Consider the following 19,062-nt stretch of genomic DNA (forward strand, 5'->3'; position numbering starts at 1 on the left):
AGAAATTATCGTTCCTATTAGTTAAATGAGGGAACTGCCACCACCGAGAGCCTCAGTGTGCTTGCCTAAGGTCTTATGGCTGGTAATCCATATCTTAACCTTTCCAGATCAGACCTTGTTCATCAAAAACTTCTTCTGCTTGGAAACATAAAACAATAAGTGTGTGAGGTGGGGCAAAATGGTGGTGATAATTTGTACATCTGAATGTTTGGTGGAAAAGATTGGCTTTCAAGGAGAAGAGTTCATTCTTGCCACCCACATTTGCCGAGTATGGGTTCTTGTCCACTGGCACTCTGCTTTTGGGGGGATGCAGAAGTAACCAAATGGCTTGCCATGACTATTAGTGTTCTGCCTCAGCAACATTCTTCCCACATTCTCTGACTGGCTAGGTGTAAGATGGGAATAGGTTTAAGACCACTAAGTGGATTGGAACCATTTACTTTGTGTGACGAATGCTTTTTTTTTTTTCTTCCCTGGGGGATTGCCTCCCTAGTTTTGGTTTACTTTGCCTTATATGTTACAGTGCCATCTTTTTGCTAAAATCACTGAGTATGGAATAGGCAGTATTAGAAAGGAGAGTAGAAACATGCTGGATGTTAGAGAAAAGCTAGAGCTGGTATGTGCCAGATGATGCACACACCAGCAATTTGATAATAGCCTTTATGTGCTTTGATGCCTTGAAGCCAGGAAAGTAATTTAAAAGTATTGAACTTGCTTTTATTGTAATTCATAGCAAATAATTAAGTGTTCTTTGTGAAAGAACCAGTAGTACCTGACTAGGTGCCAGGTCCTCTGTTAGGTGCAGAAAATGATGACTTTTCTCACTGAGCCTTCTGTCCTGGTTTGGGCCGAGTCCTTAAAGGGTTACTATTTCAGAGGGACAGCAGAATGAAGTGTTTAATCATCAAATAGCTTTATTTTTAAAGCTACAAATGTTTCAGGCGTATTGAAGGGAAAGGAGATAAATGCCCAAAGTGGGACTCTGAATTAATAAAATTTGGAGAATGACTTGCTCAATTTGGTTAACTTGGTTATTAAGGCTAATTACAGCTTTGTAGTGATGACTGTTAAGATAAAAGACCATATCTATTATAGCTTTGAACTTGAATCTAACATTAAGAACATCTTTTAGGATGAAACCTCTCTTTAGGGAGGTGAGCAATAAAAGAATGTTGCAAGCAAATTAATAAAGGCTTGGTTTTTAAAAAATTTCTCATTCTGCAAAATGGAAATTTTCTAATTAGAGAAATGTAAGCATGCATTTCTGTAAGCATCTGAGTTTTATGGAGTTCTTTTTTCTTCAAAATCATAGAACTCATTGTTTAAAGTTGCCAAGAATATTTAGCATCTTGTTTTTAAGGACCTCAACCTCTCTGAGTTTTAGTTTTCTTATCGCTATGGTCTGAATGTTTGTGTCCTCCCCAAATTTTTTATGTTGAAATTCTAACCCCAAGGTGATGGCATTAGGAGTTGGGGCCCTTGGGAGGTGATCAGATGATAAGGGTGAAGCCCTCGTGAATGTGATTAGTGCTATTGTAAAAGAGGCCTCAGGGAGCTTGCTTACGCCTTTCCCCATGTGAGGACACAATTAGAAGGTGCCATCTATGAGGGGCATGCCCTCACCAGATGCCAAATTTGCACCTTGATGTTGGACTTCCTACCCTCCAGAACTGTAAGCAGTAAATGTTTGTTGTTTATGAGCTACCAAATTTATGGTATTTTTGTTATAGCAGCCTAAATAGACTAAGACACTTACCTTTAAAATAGAATAGTAATTCTGACTGTGAAGGGTTATTGTAACAAGTTAATGATAAATGATTGTAAAGCCCTAAATATGATGCCTCTAGCCTATAGTGGGCACGCAATAAATGGTGACTATTAATGGGAATATGATTATTTAATTTTTAAGGTTGTACAAGTCTTACTATACTATAAAATACATACATACTGTAAGTACTATAAAAATACATACACTAAAATTTTTTAGTGTACAGTTTTGAGTTTGGACAAATGTATATCGTCATGTAACCACCACCACAATCAAGATAGAGAACAGTCTACCACCTCCCAAAAATTCCCTCATGCTGTCCCAGTCCCTAGCAACCACTGATCTGTTCTCAGTCCCTTTAGTTTCGCCATTCCAGAATATCATATCAGTTGAATAATAAGCTTGTGTGTGTATACCCTTTTGATTCTGGCTTCCTTTATTTAGTATTGTATATTTGAGATATTATGTGTACATCAGTGGGTTTTTGTTGTTGTTATTGCTGAGTGGTATCCTCTGTATGAATGTACCATAGTTTGTTTATCCATTCACCAGTTGAAGGACATCTAGATTGGTTCCTGTCTTTCACATTTACAAATTAAGCAGCTATAAACATTCTTGTACAAGTTTTTGTGTGAACATAAATTTGTATTTCTCTTGGGCAAATCCCTAAGAGTGGGATTGCTGGGTCATATGGTCAAAATACATTTAACTTCATGTGAAACCGCCAAACTGTTTGCCAGAGTCTGTGCCATTGTAAACACTCTTCAAACAGCAATTTATGAGCATTCCAGTTGCTCCACATCCTTGCCTGCAGTTGCTGTCAGGTTAAAAATTTTTTTTATAATTGTAGCTATTATAATACGTATATAATGGTATCTCATTGTGATCTTAATTTGTATTTTCTAATGATTAACAATATTGAGTATGTTTTTTGTCTGCAATTTGGCATCTGTGTATTTTCTTTGGTAAAATGTCTTTCTGAATTTTTGCCCTTTTCTGAAAAAATGGACTGTGTGTTTTAAAGCAGTTTTAGATTCACAGAAAAATTGAGCAGAGATTTCCCATATACCCCTTCCCCCGAGCTTATGCATATTCTGTCTCATTATCAATATCCCCCACCAGAGTCATACAACTGATGAACCTACACTGACATTTTATTACCACCCAAAGTCCATAGTTTACATTAGAGGTTCGCTCTTGGTGGTACGCATTTGATGGGTTTGGACAAATGTATAATGATACATGTATCCACCATTAAAGTATCAAACAGAGTAGTTTCACTATGCTAAAAATTCTCTATGCTGTTCCTATTCATCTCTTCCTGCACCCAAACTCCTGGCTACCACTGTTCTTTTTACCATCTCCATAGTTTTCTCTTTTCCAGAATGTCATATAGTTGGAATATTATAGTATGTAGCCTTTTCAGATTGGATCACTTAGTTAATATGCATTTAAGTTTCCTCTATGTGTTTTCTTGGCTTGATAGTCTTTTCTTTGCCCAGTTTTATTGAGTTAAACTCCTTAATGAGTTTTGAGAGGATTTACATATTCTAGATCCAAGTCCTTTATCACATGTACAAGTTGCAGGTATTTTCTCCTAGTCTGTAACTTGTTTTCTCATTCTCTTAACAGTGTCTTTTGTAGAATAAAACTTTTAAATTTTGATGAAGTCTACTTTATCAATTTCATCTTTTATGGGTCATGCTTTTGATTTTGTATGTAACATTATCTTTGCCTAAATCAAGGTTACAATGATTTTCTCCTAAACTTTTTTCTAGCAGTTTTATGGTTTTAATTTTTTTATTTAGGTTCATGATCCACTTTGAGTTTTTTTATAAAGTATATAATATGGATTTTGGTTCATTTTTTTACATGAATATCTAATTGTTCCCAACACCAGTTGTTGAAAAAACTTACCTTTTCTCCACTCAATTGACTTTGAACCTTGAATTGACTATATTTGTATAGGTGTATTTCTGAACTCTATTCTGTTCCTTTGATCTATGTGCCTATCCCTTCATCACTAGTGCAGTTTTGATTACTGTTGCTTTATAGGAAGTCTTAAATCTTTTGTCTTTGTCCTTCTTACAACTTTGCCCTTTTTAAAAATTGTTTTGGCTATTCATTCTATTGCATTTCTTGTCACTATACACACAAACACTGGCTAGGATTTTCAGTGAGGTTATGTAGAATATATAGATCAATTTGGGGAAAATTGACATGTTAACAGTATTGAGTTTTCCAATCCATGAACATGGTAACCTCCCACTTTTCAATATTGTCTTTGATTTCTTCCATCAGCATTTTGTAGTTTTTAACATAGAGACTGCACATGTTTTCTTAGAATTATAAGCCAAGATTTTTTGGTGCTAAGATAAATAGTACTTTGTGGGTAAGTTTTGATTTCCAGTTGTTCATATTTAGCATATATATCTACAGTTTTTTGTTTGATTTAAGTGTTTTTTTTTTTTCATTTGAACTTATCTAATATGACCTTCTTATACTTACTGGTTCTAGGAGCAATTTTGTCCTTTCCACTTGATGTCTTTAATCCCCTTCCCTTGCTTTATTGGCCTGTCTAGAATTTCCAGTGTGATGCTGAATAGAAGTGGTAAGAGCAGACATCTTTGCGTTGTTTCTATCTTAGGGGAAGAATATTCAGTCTTTTGCTATTATTGTGTTAACTATAGGATTTTTTGCAGATGCCCTTTATCAGGTTAAGGAAGTTCGCTCCTATTCCTAGTTTACTGAGAGCTTGCTTTATCATGAAGGAATGTCAAATTTTGCCAAATGATTTTTCTGTATCTGTTGAGATTATTATATGGTTTTTCTTCATTAGTCTAAATATGGTGAATTATACTAATTTATTTTTGAATGTTAAACTAGCTTTGCATTCCTGTGATAAACCCTATGTTGTTGTGTATTTTCCTTTTCTGATATTGCTTAATTAGATTTGCTAATATTTTTGTGGAGGCATTTTACTTCTATGCTCATGAGGGATATTGATCTGCAGTTGAGCCTACTTGTAATGTTTTCATCTGGTTTTAGTATCAGGGTAATAATGCTGGCCTCATACAGTGGGAACCCTTCCCTCCTCTTCCATTTTCTGGAAGACATTGTGTAGAATTGATACTATTTCTTAAATGTTTGGTAGACTTCTCCAGGGAAACATCTGGATCTGTATTGTTAGAGATTTTTAACTGCAAATTTAATTTCTTTAATTAATTTACAACCATTTAGATTATCATATCCTCTTGAGTGAGCTCTGGTAGTTTGTGACTTTCAAGGAATTTTTTCATTTTATCTAAGTTGTAGAATTTATGAGCATGAAGTTGTCCAGAGTATTCCCTTAGGATCCTTTTAGTATCTCTGAGATCTATAATGATGTCACTGCAACCTCCACCTCCCTGGTTCAAGCAATTCCCCTGTCTCAGCCTCCAAAGTAGCTGGGTTTACAGGCACATGCCACTATGCCCAGCTACTTTTTTTTTGTATTTTTAGTTGAGACAGGGTTTCACCATGTTGGCCGTTGGAGTTTCTCAAACTCCTGACCTTAGGCAGTCCACCTGCCTCAGTCTCCCAAAGTGCTGGGATTACAGGCGTGAGCCACTGCCTTCTTGCTGCATCATTCCATGACACAGGACAGAAGGGCAAGACAGTCATGCATGCAAGAGCGTAGGTTAGAGGCCCCAAATCATCCTTTTATCAGAAACCTACTCCTGCGATAACTGACCCACTCCCACCATAACAGCATTAATCCATTCATGAGAGCACAGCTTTCATGACCTAATCACTTCTTAAGGACCTCACCTCTCAACACTGTTGCATTGGGGATCATGTGTCTAACACATGAACTTTGGGGGACACATTCAGACCATAGCAGTATTCAGGTATTTGATAATTTTCTGGCTACTTGTTCTGTTAGTTACTGAAAGAAGAATGTTGAAGTCTCCAAATATAATTGTGGATTTGTCTGTTTCTCCTTTAAGCTCTGTCAGTTTTGCTTCCTGTATTTTGAAGTCTTATTGTGAGGTGCAGCCGAGTCATCTGGGATTATGTCTTTTTGGAAAACTGTCCGTTTTATCTTTATGTAATGCCCCTCTTTATACCTGGTATAGTATTCCTTGTTCTAAAGTTGGCTTTATCTGATACTGATATAGTCATACCAGCTTTATTTTATAGTGTTTTTTCATGGTATATCTTTTTTCTTCCTTTTCCATTTAATCTATGTCATTATATTTACAGTGGATTTCTTATACACAGTATAAGAAAGATTTGGGTCTTGTTTTTTAGCCTGATTTGACCATTTCTTTTAATTTATATGTTTAGACCATTTATATTTTATATAATTATTGATGTGGTTGTTGAATTTAGGTCTACCATTTAATCATTTGTTTTTTGTTTATCCCCTCTGTTTCCATTCATCTCTTCCCTCTCTCTTTCTTTCTTTTGGATTATTTATTTTAAAATGTTTTATTATAATTTAATTTCTATTATCCTTTGTGTTTGTATCTCCTAGAATATTTTTGGTGGTATCAGCATTGTAGTAAACAGACCTAAGCTTTCACAGTCTACTTGAAGTTAATATTTTGCCATGTTAAATGGCATGTAGAGTATAACAAAAATATACATATATATATATATAAAAACTATATATATATATATAGTTTTGTGGTTGTTAGGCTCTACATGCCATTTAACATGGCAAATATATATATATCTTATATATATATATAGTTTATAGATACAGTTTTTATATATATTTTTCCTTTACTCTCCCTTTTTTATGTTATAGTTGTCATGTGCAGTACCTCTATGTGCATTTAAAACTCCACAAAATGGTGCTTAAATTCTTGCTTTTAACCATCATACTTTTAAAGAACTTAAAAGTCAAAAATAATCTATTTACTGAGATATTTTATCATTTCTATTGTTCTTCCTTTATTCCTGAACTTCCAAGTTTCCTTCTGATACTATTTCTCCTCGGCATAAAGAATTTCCTTCAACATTTCTTTTAGAACAGATGTCTTGGCAACGAATACTGTAAATTTTCCCTGATCTGGGTATGGTTATATTTCATCATCACTCCTGAATGATATTTTTGCTGGATATAGAATTCTCATTGACATTTCAGTTTCTTTTAATGCTTTAAAGATATTGTTCCATTGTATTCTGTTTCCTGATGAGAAATTTCTAATTATTCAAGTCACTATTCTTCTATGTATGGTATTTTGATTTTCTCTGTTTTCAAGATTTTTTTTCTTCATCTTTGCTTTTCAGCAGTTTATGATATGTTTGGGAATGGTTTTCTTTGAGTTTATCTTATTTGAGGTTGGCTAAGCTTCTTGGATCTGTAAGTTCATATCTTTCTCCAAATTTGGGAGGTTTTCATTCATGATTTCTTCCAATTTTTTCTTCTCCTCATCTTTTGGGAATCGAAAGACATAAATGTTAAACCTTTTGATATTTTCTTACTTGTTTTTAAGGCTCGGCTCATTTATGCCTAGTTGTTTTTCTCTCTTTTCTTCAGTTGAGATCATTTCTAGCTTCACATTCACTGACTTTTCCCTCTGTCATCTCCGTTCTGCTATTGATCCCATCCAGTTAATTTTTAATTTCAGATATTGTTTTATTGGCCCTAAAATTTCTGTTTAGTTCATTTTTTTATAGTTTATATTTCACTTCTGAAAACTGCCTTTCTATTCCTTTCAATAGTGTTTACTTTCATCTCATGGAGCATAATTACAGTAGTTGGTATAGAGCTTCTGAGTGATAATTCTAACATCTAGTTCATCTTGCTTGGTATCTGTTGACTGTTTTTTCCCCTTGAGAATTGGTCACATTTTGCTGTTTCTTTGTAAGTCACATAATTTTGAGTCCTGGACATTTTGAATATTGTATCATGAGAGCCTGGGGATTGTTTAAAGAATTGAAATCCTCAGGAGATTTTTTTTTAATTATTTAATTATTTATTTATTTATTTATTTATTATTATTATACTTTTAAGTTTTAGGGTACATGTGCACAATGTACAGGTTAGTTACATATGTATACATGTGCCATGCTGGTGTGCTGCACCCACTAACTCGTCATCTAGCATTAGGTATATCTCCAAATGCTATCCCTCCCCCCACCCCACAACAGTCCCCAGAGTGTGATGTTCCCCTTCCTGTGTCCATGTGTTCTCATTGTTCAATTGCCATCTATGAGTGAGAACATGCAGTGTTTGATTTTTTGTTCTTGTGATAGTTTACTGAGAATGATGATTTCCAGTTTCATCCATGTCCCTACAAAGGACATGAACTCATCATTTTTTATGGCTGCATAGTATTCCATGGTGTATATGTGCCACATTTTCTTAATCCAGTGTATGATTGTTGGACATTTGGGTTGGTTCCAAGTCTTTGCTATTGTGAATAATGCCGCAATAAACATACGTGTGCATGTGTCTTTATAGCAGCATGATTTATAGTCCTTTGGGTATATACCCACTAATGGGATGGCTGGGTCAAATGGTATTTCTAGTTCTAGATCCCTGAGGAATCGCCACACTGACTTCCACAATGGTTGAACTAGTTTACAGTCCCACCAACAGTGTAAAAGTGTTCCTATTTCTCCACATCCTCTCCAGCACCTGTTGTTTCCTGACTTTTTAATGATTGCCATTCTAACTGGTGTGAAATGGTATCTCATTGTGGTTTTGATTTGCATTTCTCTGATGGCCAGTGATGGTGAGCATTTTTTCATGTGTTTTTTGGCTACATAAATGTCTTCTTTTGAGAAATGTCTGTTCATGTCCTTTGCCCACTTTTTGATGGGGTTGTTTGTTTTTTCTTGTAAATTTATTTGAGTTCATTGTAGATTCTGGATATTAGCCCTTTGTCAGATGAGTAGGTTGCGAAAATTTTCTCCCATTTTGTAGGTTGCCTGTTCACTCTGATGATAGTTTCTTTTGCTGTGCAGAAGCTCTTTAGTTTAATTAGATCCCATTTGTCAATTTTGGCTTTTTTTGCCATTGCTTTTGGTGTTTTAGACATGAAGTCCTTGCCCATGCCTATGTCCTGAATGGTAATGCCTAGGTTTTCTTCTAGGGTTTTTATGGTTTTAGGTCTAACGTTTAAGTCTTTAATCCATCTTGAATTGATTTTTGTATAAGGTGTAAGGAAGGGATCCAGTTTCAGCTTTCTACATATGGCTAGCCAGTTTTCCCAGCACCATTTATTAAATAGGGAATCCTTTCCCCATTGCTTGTTTTTCTCTTTCCCCATTGCTTGTTTTTCTCATTGATTGTTTTAAAAAATTTCTTAAAGCATGCAACAAACCAGGGTAGATTCAGACCATAAATTGTTTCCCCTCCATTGGGTGATAGTTCCAATGTCAGTTAGTTTTCAAAACCTTGGTTATGCTGCCTTGGATCTGTCTCATGCACATGAAGTGTGACCAGGACTTCTACCAGTTTGTACACAGAATTCAGAGATCCCCGTTTCCACCTCCTGGTTTGGGGGTCCTTTTTCCCTGTGCTTACACCAGCTCAATAAGCGTTCTCAAGTTTTTGCTGCATGTGTCGTTTATAAAGTTCCCTGGATGGGGCTAATTTTATTTCAATGCTAGGAGAAAAAAAAGAAGGGGAAACATAATGGCAAGTCACCCCCATCAGGATTGCTTCTCCAGGTTTTATTTTCTCTCTCCAATCTGCTTGCTCTTACTTTTCAGAATCCTCAGGTTATTAGTTTTTGTATTTTGTCCAAAGTTTTTGTTGTTATCATTGGGAGGGACGGGTGTGGACTTACTCCATCTTCACTAGCCATGTTGTGTTTTTAATTGGCATTTTAAAATATAGAAATGCAGATTGTAAATATCTGTGGCTTAGATGGGTTGTGGCCCTTTTTGTTTTCTGTTGATAAAAGCTATTTGATATTTAAAATAATAGATACTCTTACATAGCAGTCCCCAACCTTTTTGGCACCAGGGACTGGTTTCATGGAAGACAGTTTTTCCACGGATGGGGGGTGGGAGAGGATGCTTTCGGGATGAAACTGTATCACTTCAGATTATCAGGCATTAGTTAGATTCCCATAAGCAGCATGCAACCTAGATCCCTCACATGCGCATTTCACAATAGTATTTGTGTTCCTATGAGAATCTAATGCCACCGCTGATCTGACAGGAGGCAGAACTTAGATGGTAATACTTGTTCGTCTGCCATTCACCTCCTGCTGTGTGGCCAGGTTCCTAACAGGCCATGGCTCAGTTCCTAACAGACCACAGACTGGTACCAGTCTGCAGCCTGGGGGTTGGGGACCCCCGCCCTAATGGAAGAAGCTTGTTTATTTTTAATGAGGAAGAATGTACGCCCTATCTTTTGGATAAATAAAACATAAACAGTTTTCATTCCTACCATTATTATGCATTTAACAAATGATTAAAACATAAACAGACATGCACACATACCTTTTCAAAGAAGTAGTGTTGTGAAAAGCTTTGGAATACTGGTAGCTGTCTTGCTTTGAAATTTAAGTAAAACTTGAACTTTTAAAATTTGTGAAATATTTGCTTGAATTTTCTACTTCTTCGAAGAATGTAGAAAGGAATAATTTATCAGACCTTAATTATTCAAATTATGAATTATGCCTTTATTCTAAATGTATGATTGCCTTTCCTTTGAAAAACTAGGGAAATTTTGATTATGGTTTAGTAATTTTACTCATGAACATATAAATTTAGTGATTTCAACTATATTTTTAAAATCAGTTCCTGATTAAATCATTTAGGGAAGTATGTTTAAATGGATTTTATTTTTGAAAGACGTATTTTACTGGCTTTTTTTTGCCCCAAACTATTCATATTTTACTGACGGATAAATATGCATACTAATTAATAAACATAATAAAGTTTGAAATTATAAGGAGAACAGGAAGTTATTTGTGTCCACTATATGCCTTAATGATTTTATTGTAAAAAGTAATTTTAGAAAGTAAATTCAATTTTTGTGCAGAACCATTTGGAGTGATATATTGCAGTATCCATGTATAGAGTCTGTAAATTGGACACTGGGATTGTATATGTTATTGGCATTTTTGTCTAAAATGTCATACAAGTAAGAAGTTGATTACTATTGGCATTTGTGAAATATGAAGTATATTTTATTATGTAAGAGTATTTGGATATTTGGTTCAAACTTTGGATCTATTGTCCTCCTTTCAATAAACTCTCTGTGGGATTTGTGGCTTATGTTAAGGAGAATTAAGTTATAAAAATGACCGACTTGGATCTCTTTTGAAATTGTTTAAAATTTATAATTAACTTGATAATTTAAAAAATTTAAATTTAAAATTTTAAATATATAAATTACATTTTTAAATTTTAATAAATTTAAACAATTTAACTTGATAAAATTGGATGTTTTTATAATTTTTGAACATTTATTTTCCTTTCCTCCTTTAAATTAGGTGCTCTGTGGATGTGTATAGTTTTAAACCCCCACTGCAAGTTGGAGCAAAAGGCCAGTTGGCTAAAACAGCTGAAGAAATGGAATAGTGTTGATGTCTGTCCATGGGAAGATGGAAATCATGGCAGTGAATTACCCAACTTAACCAATGCTCTGCCTCAGGGTGCAAATGCCAACCAAGGTGAGTCTACCATAATGTTCTGCTTAAATTGTAGCTACTTAATTATGCATATGTGCTTATAATAGTAACTTACAATGTATATGGGAAAATGATTTTACCAACTTAAGAACTTACAACTCCAGTACTTAATATGTGTTGACTGTGAGTGTATGTGTGTCTGTGTGTATGTTTTAAATTTAACTGAGATATTTGTATACTTTTTTATATTCTCAGAATATGGATGGATATAATACTTATTTTATATACTAGTATGTGTTAAAATGGCCTATTAATGATTTATTATGGACATTCTTCTCTAATTTAAAAAGATCATGGAGTAGGATGGTTAATATATTACTTTTAAAACAAACTGTCAAGAGGCTTGAGGAGCTATATGTTTTTATTTTTCTTGATCAATCCATGTTTGATCTATTGCATAATTTAGTCACTTAATTCTTAGTTTTAAAATGTAGTAAGGAAATATTTTATGACTCGACTGAAGGACATAGAATGCTGTTGACATTTTACTGGGAAATTTTTTTATTGTGAGGGGTTGTCTAGCCCACCTGCTGTAGGCTAATAGTGCCCTCCAAGTTTTGGGACAACCAAGAAATGCTCCCAGACATTTCCAAAAGAACCTCTGTCTCATTTCTGTCCTGTTTTTTTTGTTTGTTTTTTTTTGTTTTTTGTTTTTTTTTAGCTTCTCCCTCTCTATTGTACCTATCTATTCAACCCAAGTCTCTCCCATCTTTAAAAAACTTCCTCCCTTGGCCCCATTTTCCCTTCTACCTGCTGCAGAATGTTCTCTTCCCTTTCAAAATGAAATTCTTAAGTAATTATTTCTTGCCAATAGAAATTTTATTAACTAATTCATGACACTATTTTTGCATGATTCAGTGCATTTTTTGGGAGAAAATTTGAAAGATTTTAAAGTCATGATAGAAGCAAGGTGGGAATTAAATAACATTAGGATTCAGAGTCAAGACTACATTCTCTATGTACTAGCCACATGCTGAATTTGTACTACTAGAAATAACTGGAACAATGTGCTGAGTTTGAATGTGATGTTAGTATAGTGTTTTTAGTCTCTGCAAAGAAAGAAAATGATATGTATTACTCCATAGGGACTTTTCCAATCAAAAAGAAGTTTTAGGACTTGAGAAAGACAATTGTCTGACTCTGCCTTGTCTAGAGATATTTGCCATGGGAATTCAATATTTGAAGTCTGTCATATCTTTATTGCCCATGATGATTGTATTTAATAACTTCGAAGAAAATAAATGTATCCCACATACCCCCAGTTTTTTTCCAGGTGCTCAGAATTTTTAAGTTTAATTGTTCAACATTTATTCTCTTCCGTTGCTAGGAAAGGGTATGCCTACATCTACATAGGTAATATCCTTAATCCCCTTCTATTTATACTATGTTTCATTCCCCACTGCTTTTGGGGACTGCTACTCAAACATTTTACATTTTACTTTTTACATTCCATTTATTCTGTTACCCTTGATTAAGCATGAATATTTCATGGCCTTAGAAAGCTGGTAAGAAATGGTCCAGCCTCCAGACTTAAAGAGTTCATTTCGCTTATGGTTTGGCCTAGGTGATACAATTTGGGACCTTGTTTCTAAGGGCAGTGTTTATATCTGTTGGACCGAAAGGCACCAGGGTACCTACTTTTAGCAGAATACCCCCATCCTTCTGAGGGGCTGTCAGAAGAGACATGCCTACAGAGGAGGTCTGGTGTTCATACCTGTAGTGCCCTTCCCTGTAAAGCTCAGCTGGCTCCCCAGGGTAGAGCTTGTGGTGGCCAATAGAGTCCAGCAGCTGTGCCATTGCAGCTGGACTGAGTGTGCACACAGTATAGGCCATGGACGGAATTTCTTGTGTTTACACATTAGAGTGCATGTGAAGGGCTTATCCAGGCTCTGCCTCTGCTGAGGTAATTTTTTAGAATTAATGAATAACAACATTGCAATCTATACCCTTTGAAAGAGAATAATTTTTTAATATACCAAAAGTATAGCCAATTTTATAATTTTTTTAGTAGAAGAACAAAAATATCTCCTTTTTACTTAATTTCCCAAGTTTTCCTTAATCAGCATGTATTACTATTTTGTGTACTTTATGAAAAATTCTTACAAATATGTGTATTTATCATTTAAAAAAATTGCTCAAGATAATTATTTCCCTTTTTTCAATCTTACTGCACAATTGAATAGCCACTGACATTCAAGATTTTAAAAAGTTGACTAATTTTGATACCTAGTCAAACCAAATTTTTAATTGTATATCTTCTATGTCCAGCTACATACTTAATTTTATGTGTTTCCCATATTATTACAGGACTTGTCATTTAAATTTCATTTCATGAGTATTTAGCCTCTTTTGTTGTCATTGGTTTTATTAGAGCTAACCATGTTAAAAGCCTAGTGTGTGTACGCAACATTTCTCTACACTTATATAGTCACATATAAACATGTGAAAGGTTCAGGTATCTATTAATGTTTTATAAAAATGGAATCATGTTAACAGCTTGCTATTTGAGCCAAATCAATAGGCAGACCTCTAACTCACTCTTTTAATACATGCATAATACTAAGTTGCTCTTTTAAAGTCTCGTTTTAGTTTTAAATTTTGTTTCTATGATTTCAGCTTAACAAAATAAATGAAATGACAAAAGATACTTACATGAGGCTAAAAAACACTTATGTGAGGCTTGGACTTTGAAACATTTGATCAATTGACTGTGAGAGGTCACGGAACCAATTTCTTGCTGGGCATGGGTATGTTTATTCTGCTCAGCAAAAAGCCCCAATAGATTCAAAACGTCCTTAAATGTAGGACTTTGCCTTCTCCCTTGCAGTTTCACTATCCATCCACCTCTAGTGAGGAGTCTGGGTGGGAGCCATAACAGATCATCATTATTTATGCCTCTCAAATGATCTATCACACATGCATTTTGATATGTCTACCATTCAGGTACAGATAGCTAAGTTGACCTGAGACCAAACTGAAGTAATGTCTCTTTGTTAAAGACTTGTCAAAAGCCTTTCCAAACCAGCTGAAGTAGCTGAATTTTCAGTAAGGATATCTGTGTTTTAATCTCCACTGTCACTGCCTGATGGTGTGACCTTGGCAAGTCACTTTACTTCCCTTGCTTTTCAGTTCCATCAGCAGAGTAAAGGGGTTGGCGTAGATGAGTTCTCCAGTCTCTTCTTCTCAATTCAGTTGTCCTTTGATTTTTGTGTTTTCCCTTATGTCTGTGCTCAGCCAAAGGTCCGGTGACAGGAAAATGAAATCTTACCAATTAAGGAAGCTCTAGATTTTGCTTCTCATTTAATTAAGTCTCAGAACAATGAGAGGTTATATTTGAACTAGGTTAAGTACACATAAATAAAAATAGTTTGTTAACCTGATTTCCAGTTGAGGATTGCTAAAGTTTGTGCCACAGTTGAAGGTAAGTTTAGAGTGGGAACCCAAGGGGTGGGTGTGCAGGTAGAATTTGAACCATATAATCCTTAGGAATTGAATAATCCCAGGAGTTGAGGTGAGAATATCCTTTATTCCCCAAACATTTCTTTTCTCCGTCAGGTCCTGAAACTTGAACCCTCTTCGGAGTGTATGGCTCTGCTCTTTTGTGATGCCCTGGCATACACTATGCTGGGGACATCACACCAGTCATGGAACCTGCCCAGGAGTCAGGAGGCAGCCTGTAGGGGCAAGGTAAGTGCGCTGGTTTGTTTTGTAGCTATGTTGTGTGGCTTTGTGAAATGTTAAATATATGCATTTATGCCCTTTGGGATATAAAGTGATATTTAAGCATTATATCCCAAGAAGCATAATAGTTTTAATTGTGCAAAACCGCACAATATAGTTAAAAAATACAACCAAAAGCACAACCCTTATGCATATCTTTAAAGGCTGACTGCATAATCCTGAAAGGTTCCATGGCTGGTGTCGCATCTCTTGCATAGTGTTTGTGAGAGCTGTTGATCCCATAAGGGCAGCCCACCACAGCACCTCAGAAGTGGGGAGCAGTGAGTTTTCCTGTGACTTTTGTGCTGAGTGGCTCCTTTGAGTGTATTTGGCATGGAAACTAGACTTGACAATTCTTTTTGCAGGACGCCTTTAACCTTAGCTTTAATGGCTGCAGAATGTTTGTGTTTGATAAACAAGTGAGTGAATGGTGGCTCTTGGGCTGACCTGCCTCTTAGTACTTAGGATGTGAGAGTATTCACCCTTCACCCTTCTGCTTAGGGGGTGCAGGACAATGTGTGTGGGTGTGTTCATGAACATCTGGCCACAGAATGGTATGACTGATTTATTCACATGTGAATAATAGCTGACACGGCTTTCTGAATTGTGGAAAAAACAGATTCATCGAACAGGCCACATCGGACAGTGTTCACCCGAGCCATCGAGGCATGCGATCTCCACTGGCAGGATAGCCACTTGCAGCACATTATCAGCAGTGACCTATACACCAACTACTGTTACCATGACGACACTGAAAACTCCCTCTTCGACTCCCGCGGGTGGCCCCTCTGGCATGGTAAGTGACCAAACCGGAAAGACATTTCCATGACTTACTTCTTTGTTTAGTTTCTATAGCATTACTGGAATGGGAGGTGGAGAACTGAAGGATTCAATGGGAGATGGATGAATGCTTGGCAATAGGAGCTGAGATTTTCATTCAAATCCAAGTTCAGGAATGGTTTCTTGTGTCTTTTTAATAGTATTTTGGGAGAAACATCTTACTATTAAATTCTTTTTTTATGGATATATCTGACAGTGGCAACTTTACCCCCTTGACTTTCTGTTTTAGAACATGTTCCTACAGCCTGTGCAAGAGTGGACGCATTACGTTCTCATGGGTACCCCAGAGAAGCACTGAGACTAGCAATAGCTATTGTTAATACATTAAGACGACAGCAGCAGAAACAGTTGGAAATGTTCCGAACCCAAAAAAAAGGTGAATGTGAAGGAGTTTGTTTCCATTGGAATGGGATTCTTAGTGATGACATTACTAGGTTTTGTGTTCTGGGAGAGATGGCTTTTAGAACTAAAACCATAGATGATGGCTTTACTCGCCATTCATTTAAAATAATGGCTGATCTGTGAGAAATTTGGGGCATCTTTTTCTTAGTTGAATGTTGTAAGCAAAGATTTTTTTTTTTAATCTCTCAGGTTAGTTACTTTTTTAAGGGGGATAATTTTCTTTATTGTTTTAATGACTATTTAGTATGTCTAAATTATTTAAAATGCATGTTAGCTAAATGCCTTATTTTGTGGAAGTGCATTTTAATTCTAACAATAAGGACACAGCCTATGCTTGAATCCCGGCAATCCTAACGTCCCAAATGGGTGCCTTAGGCAATCAGTTGACGTCTCTGTGATTTTGAATTCTCTTCTGTGCAATGAGGCTCAGTAGAGGGCCTATCTCTTAGAGTTGTTGAGAAGATTAAACCAAGTTAATTTCTGTAAAGCACTTAAAGCAAAGCTTGGCACAATGTGTAAGCATTCTAAAACTTTTTAGCTGTAATAATTTGTACATCAGGACATGTTACTATATTTACTTAAAGTGACCAGAATAGAACTGGATTTTTCAAATTCTGTAAATGACATTTGATGAGCTGTCAGCTGAAAGAACACATTTAACTTCTCTTTATCTCAGTTTATTAATCTTTTAAATTTTGAATAACTATTACTGAGTAATAGTAATTGCAAAGGGTTGAATTACATGCACAAGACCCTGATCAGATAAAGAAATGTATATGCTTTTTCTGATTAATCCATGTACATCTTGTTCCTTCTATAGGTATAAATTTTATTTTTATGTTTCTTTAGCAGGTTCGTTTTCACTCTGTGATTTTATTTTTCATTAAGAGGGATAGTTTTAGTTGCTGGGTTTTTGTTTTGGTTTTGGTTTTGGTTATATTTTTGTTTTTAATGCTTGGGTGATTATACACATACTAGAGTATAACTAAAAATTATTAAAAGGCTAGAGGTTGGAGCAAGTGTCTATTGTAACTTTTAACAGTGAAAAAAAGTCAAAAGTTACAGTTGAACCAAAGGAAGAGGGAAGCTCAGATGGGATTGGAATGTGAGAGCCCCGATTGTCGTGACTTTGTCCAGTTCATGATGTTCTTCATATCATCACTGGTGTGTGCAAAATACATTGCTAGGTACTTTGGAAAATTTTTCTGAAATCCTTCTTCCTTCAACACATACACAGTCTATGGTGAAAGGAATTTATTTCTGAATAGTATAAAGGATAATATTCAAACAAAGAGTGCAGGACTTGTTATACTGTGCAAAAAGAGAGCCAGTTCGTGATGATCATCTGATTTTTAAAAAAAATCATATTATACATTTTATGAATAAATGTTGACTTTTAAAATTTGTTTAAAATGTTGTAATAAAAAAGGAAAGTGTAAAAATGTTAGTTAGTTTCCTAACTAACTAATGTTCCTAAACATGTTTACATTTAGGTAAGTTACAGAATATGTTAACTTAGACTCCTTTGATTGTCTTTGAGATAATTCTGTAACCTTTAGGTCTAGACCATTCTTAGACCCATTTCTCTTTTATCTTGCAAGCTATGAAAACTTTTATTTCCAACCATTCTTAGGTATTGCTAGGATTACATGTCTATACCTATGTCTTTCCCTACTTTATTTTTGGTAATTGTTTTTCCGTATTTTAAAAATAGGCTTTTCCATAGCTGTTACAAGTCTAAAGTACCATAACAGCTACTTGTTATGGGCCAAGATTAGTAAATGGAATATCTTATACATTTTCAAAATTATTTGGCATGATGTGTTAGCTTATTGATTCTGAAAAAAAACAGATTTATTTGATTTATTTTTGATTTCTCATATTTCCTCAGTTTCTATCACTTGACAATATATTTGTTTATATAAGCACAGCATTTCCTTTAGCCCCATCCATATATACATACACATATATATACATATATATATGTGTGTGTATATGTATATATGCAAACATATTTATTTGGTTGTTTCCAGGAGTAGTGCTCATGTTTCTTTTTTCCTACTAATTATGTTTATGAAAGCCAGCAACAGAAATTGAATATAAGGACCTTTTCAAGGAATCTAGGACTCGACTTAAATTTCAATACATTGTGCCAAACCGTTTTTCCTCTTTTTTTTTTTTTTGACATGGAGTCTCGCCCTGTCCCCCAGGCTGGAGTGCAGTGGCGCAATCTCGGCTTACTGCAGCCTCTGCATCCTGGGTTCAAGCGATTCTCCTGCCTCAACCTCCCGAGTAGCTGGGATTATAGGCACCCACCACCACGGCCAGCTAATTTTTGTATTTTTAGTACAGACGGGGTTTCACCATGTTGGCCAGGCTGGTCTCGAACTCCTGACCTCGGGTGATCCACCCGCTTCAGCATCCCAGAGTGCTGAGATTACAGGCGTGAGCCACCACGCTGGCCTGTCTTTCATTTTTATGTACTGATAGTTGATTGCTTAAAACCAGAAGACTTGTGAAGGAACATTGGATTCATGGAATGGCTCTTCAGATATTTACATGGCAATATTTTTCTTGTATATTTTATATTGTATGTAAATTTTATTATGTTTTCCTTTAAGAAGGAGCTACTAAAATTGGCCGGGCGTGATGGCACTTGCCTGTAAATCCCAGCTACTTGGGGCT

The 19,062-nt window shown here is 35.5% G+C and overlaps 1 protein-coding gene across 5 annotated transcripts in view; it reads left to right on the forward strand.

The window, feature by feature from the left end:
* Positions 1-19,062, forward strand: part of ZSWIM6 (zinc finger SWIM-type containing 6) — a 213,915-nt gene that overhangs the window by 177,788 nt on the left and 17,065 nt on the right. For 4 of the 5 annotated variants that reach the window (NM_020928.2, XM_047417453.1, XM_024446139.2 and 1 more), the window contains 3 exons: positions 11,218-11,397; positions 15,755-15,931; positions 16,205-16,351. In NM_020928.2, coding sequence (NP_065979.1) covers positions 11,218-11,397; positions 15,755-15,931; positions 16,205-16,351 — 504 coding nt within the window. Of the gene's footprint in view, positions 1-11,217; positions 11,398-14,970; positions 15,103-15,754; positions 15,932-16,204; positions 16,352-19,062 lie in introns of those variants that run through there. The other variant, XM_047417454.1, reaches the window with a different exon arrangement.

Source organism: Homo sapiens, chromosome 5, assembly GCF_000001405.40.
Source record: "Homo sapiens chromosome 5, GRCh38.p14 Primary Assembly".
Taxonomy (NCBI): Eukaryota; Metazoa; Chordata; class Mammalia; order Primates; family Hominidae; genus Homo; species Homo sapiens.